This window comes from Homo sapiens, chromosome 10 (genome assembly GCF_000001405.40).
Source record: "Homo sapiens chromosome 10, GRCh38.p14 Primary Assembly".
NCBI lineage: Eukaryota > Metazoa > Chordata > Mammalia > Primates > Hominidae > Homo > Homo sapiens.
The window spans coordinates 33,660,747-33,664,030 of record NC_000010.11 but is presented as its reverse complement, the minus strand read 5'-3'; the positions used below and the strand labels follow the sequence as shown (position 1 = coordinate 33,664,030).

General features: G+C 44.7%; 1 annotated feature.

The window, feature by feature from the left end:
- Positions 1,500-2,000: an enhancer, noted in NCBI's record as "H3K4me1 hESC enhancer chr10:33950959-33951459 (GRCh37/hg19 assembly coordinates)". NCBI's record gives its function as "activates a minimal SCP1, AML or CMV promoter by ChIP-STARR-seq in naive H9 embryonic stem cells {active_cell/tissue: H9 hESC(naive)}" and the evidence as "EXISTENCE:reporter gene assay evidence [ECO:0000049][PMID:30033119]".

Genomic DNA, 3,284 nt, shown 5'->3' with positions numbered 1-3,284 from the left:
CCGAGAACAAAGACACCATCCAGGCAGGCTTTGCAAGCTCAATAAATTGTCATTTGTCTGCAATCAGAGAGACACAGTAATTCTGACTTCCCTGTCCTTACTCCTTAAAAATGCATTCCCCTTTGTTTATAATTCCAGGCAGTTTCTAAAAGAAGAAGACAGTGTGAACTCGGTGGCACACAATCCTGAAAATATAATTGAGTGCACCGCAGCCAGGAAATGGAGTGAGATGGCTGTTCATCAATAAAAACAATATTGAAAAGGAGGCCTCGTCCTCTGGCTCCATGACAGTTAGCCTGCCTTTGCTTCTTCATCCTGCCTTGAGAGAAACAAAAAGAAAAGGAAAACCCCCACTTAAATCAAAGAATGAGGAGGAAATTCATGTTTGATTCTCACTTCTGGAAAATAATCCATATTTAGGTTCTCATCTGATCTTCCAGATTGTTCACTTGAACATTTGTGCTACCAGAAAACGTTACATGGTGAGTGGAGCAGGCCGGGTGCAGTGGCTCATGCCTGTAATTCTAGCACTTTGGGAAGCTGAGGGAGACAGATTGCTTGAAGCCAGGAGTTTGAGACCAGCCAGGCCAATATGGTTAAACTCTGTTTCTACTAAAAAAAAAACAAAAACAAAAATTAGCTGGGCGTGGTGGCAGGCACCTGTAGTCCCAGCTACTCTGGAGGCTGAGGCAGGAGAATTGCTTGAACCCAGGAGGCAGAGGTTGCAGTGAGCTGAGATCACACCACTACACTCCAGCCTGGGCAACAGAACAACACTCTGTCTCAAAAAAAAAAAGTTCTATGGTGAGTGGAGCAGTCCTGAGTAGCTTCAAGGCTCCAACTTCAAGGACATTCATGCTGTTTCCAGGTGCCAAGGTCAGAGCCAAGGATTGCCCGGAAGTCTGGTGTCATAGGAGAGAGGCCAAAAAACAAACCAAACTGAGAGGTGATATATAAAATTTTTATATAAAAATATTTTCCTATCATTTTGACATCCCTGTATTAATAAATCCTTTGGGTTAAGATATTGTTGCTATTTTAATAAAATACTAAATGATAGGATTATTGCCTGATATTACTATTGGCCAACAACTATGAATACTTGAATGAACTAACCATATTGTTCCTTTTCCCCCCCAGAAAGACTGGAAGAAGGAATTGACACGGGAGGCAGGCAATGGAGAAAGGGTCTATAACCCTTCCTTGCAATCGGGGGTCTTTGGCTGTTTGAAGGTAGGTAGGAGGGAAAGAGCCAGAAAGAGGCAGGGAAAGACATCGGAACGATGCTGACGGAAATGTTCACAGTCAACTTTAGGAAAGTATGCAGTTGGGTCAGTTTGACTCCCCTAATTGGGCTAAGAGGGTCTTGTTTCTTGTAGCTGTTCCAAGAATTGGCACGGTAGGAGGCCGTGGCTTTTTGCAAAATACCCCTATTCTTTTTGCAAAATATCCTTATTCTAAGAATAGGCCAAAGAAAGAGGAAGAGAGTGATGTTGCTGGGACAAGTACCAAGACAAAGAGATTTTCAGATTTCTGGGGACAAGAAGAAACCATGTGAAGGGAACTTTCCCTTCAACACACACACACACACACACACACACACACACACACACACACAGCCCTCCGAGTATGTATGTGTGCACGTGGTTAGCAGCGGTTGCATTAATTAGCCCAGCAGCATCAGCTTTAAATTAAAACAATTTAAAATGTAGCAGCAGCAAGCATGGCAATGGGACACAGTCTTAAAATGAGCACATGAACAGAATATGGGGAATTAGAGGCTGAGCCATTTCAAAGAGTGAATCCAGACCATATGGAGCCGAGGACTGGAGGAGTCAGGCGAAGCTGCAAGCATCTGGGATGCTAAGAGTTTCCTCTTGTGGAGCGGAGGCGTGGAGGGGTGCAGTGGGGAGACAGGAGGAAGGGACGGTTGCCAACCCATCAACAGGTCTGGTGGCAGGGCCAGATGGCCTCCTACCAGAGGGCTGGGTTCTCGTGACGGTGGCCTTTGGGCAGAAGGGGAGGAGAACAGCCCTGCGGTTTCCCCGAAGACAATGAGGAAGGAGAAACAGCCCCTGGGGCTGCTGGCTCCTGCGCCTGCCGCCTGCAGATCAGATGCCAAGGCTCCCCGGACAGGAAATGAGTGAGACTCCATGGAGGATAGCTCAGAGATTCAAGAGGAAACCATAGACCCTGGCAACAATAGGAAGAAGAGAGGGTGGGGCAGAGGAAAGAGTTTGTTTGCTTAATGTGGACCTCTTAAAGGTCAGTGATAAATGTTTGCAAAAGTCCTCGTGCTGGCTCCATGCACAGAGTTTCAGAGAACCGAAGGGATAAAGTTTCCTGTGCCTGGCACAGGGGATCTAGGGTTGTTTGGATCAGAAGGAACAACTGTGACCCTGGGTGCTCAACAATACCTTTGACCTCCCTCCCCCGGAGTAAGGCAAAATGCTTGCCTTGTTTGATGATTCTGTCAAAGTCCTCAACAAGTGATGTTGGCCTTGCTATTTGTTTATTTCTTAGCTCAGGCTGAGAAGCAAGAACTTGATTTCTAACTTTTTATAAAATTTACCAGGTGATGACTCGGGCAAGTTGCCTCAGTGTCTTCATTTTAAATTGCAAATAACTGGTTCTTAGAATGTTTAAAGCACTTAGCATCTTACCCAACACTTCAGAACTGCTCCATCAATAGTAGCTATTCTATATCATTATTGCTATTACTATTTATTCCCATCATTTCTCATTTTTGCTGTTGAAAATACCACTCTAATATAAATATCTTTCTATGTAAATCTTTGCCCATATTGCTGATCTCGAGTGTAAATTTCTAAAATTTCTAAAAGTGGTAAACTGAGTCCAAGGATAGAAACATGTTAGAGGCATTTGGTAACATTGCCAGATTATTTCCCATCGTGATTGTACCAACATCTCTCCCCACGGTCCTTGAAAGGGAACACGTGGAGAATAGCCTTGGTGACACCAGGTCATGCCATTTAAATCCTTTCCATCATCAGCACGTATTTACTGTGTGCTTGGTACGGTTCTGTACACTTGAGATCCAGCCACGAGCAACAACAAAAAAGATTTCCTGTCTTCAAGGCACTTCACAGGCAAAAATAAATAAATGAATATGCACTGTAACATCGTGCAATGGTTAAGACCTGTGCAGAGAAGAGAGCAGGGGAGGGGCTGGAGGGCAGGGGGATGCTATTTTGGATGGGATGCTCTCTATTCAGTTGAGACAGGAAATTGACACCTGAGCTGGAGCAGAATGACAGGAAGCC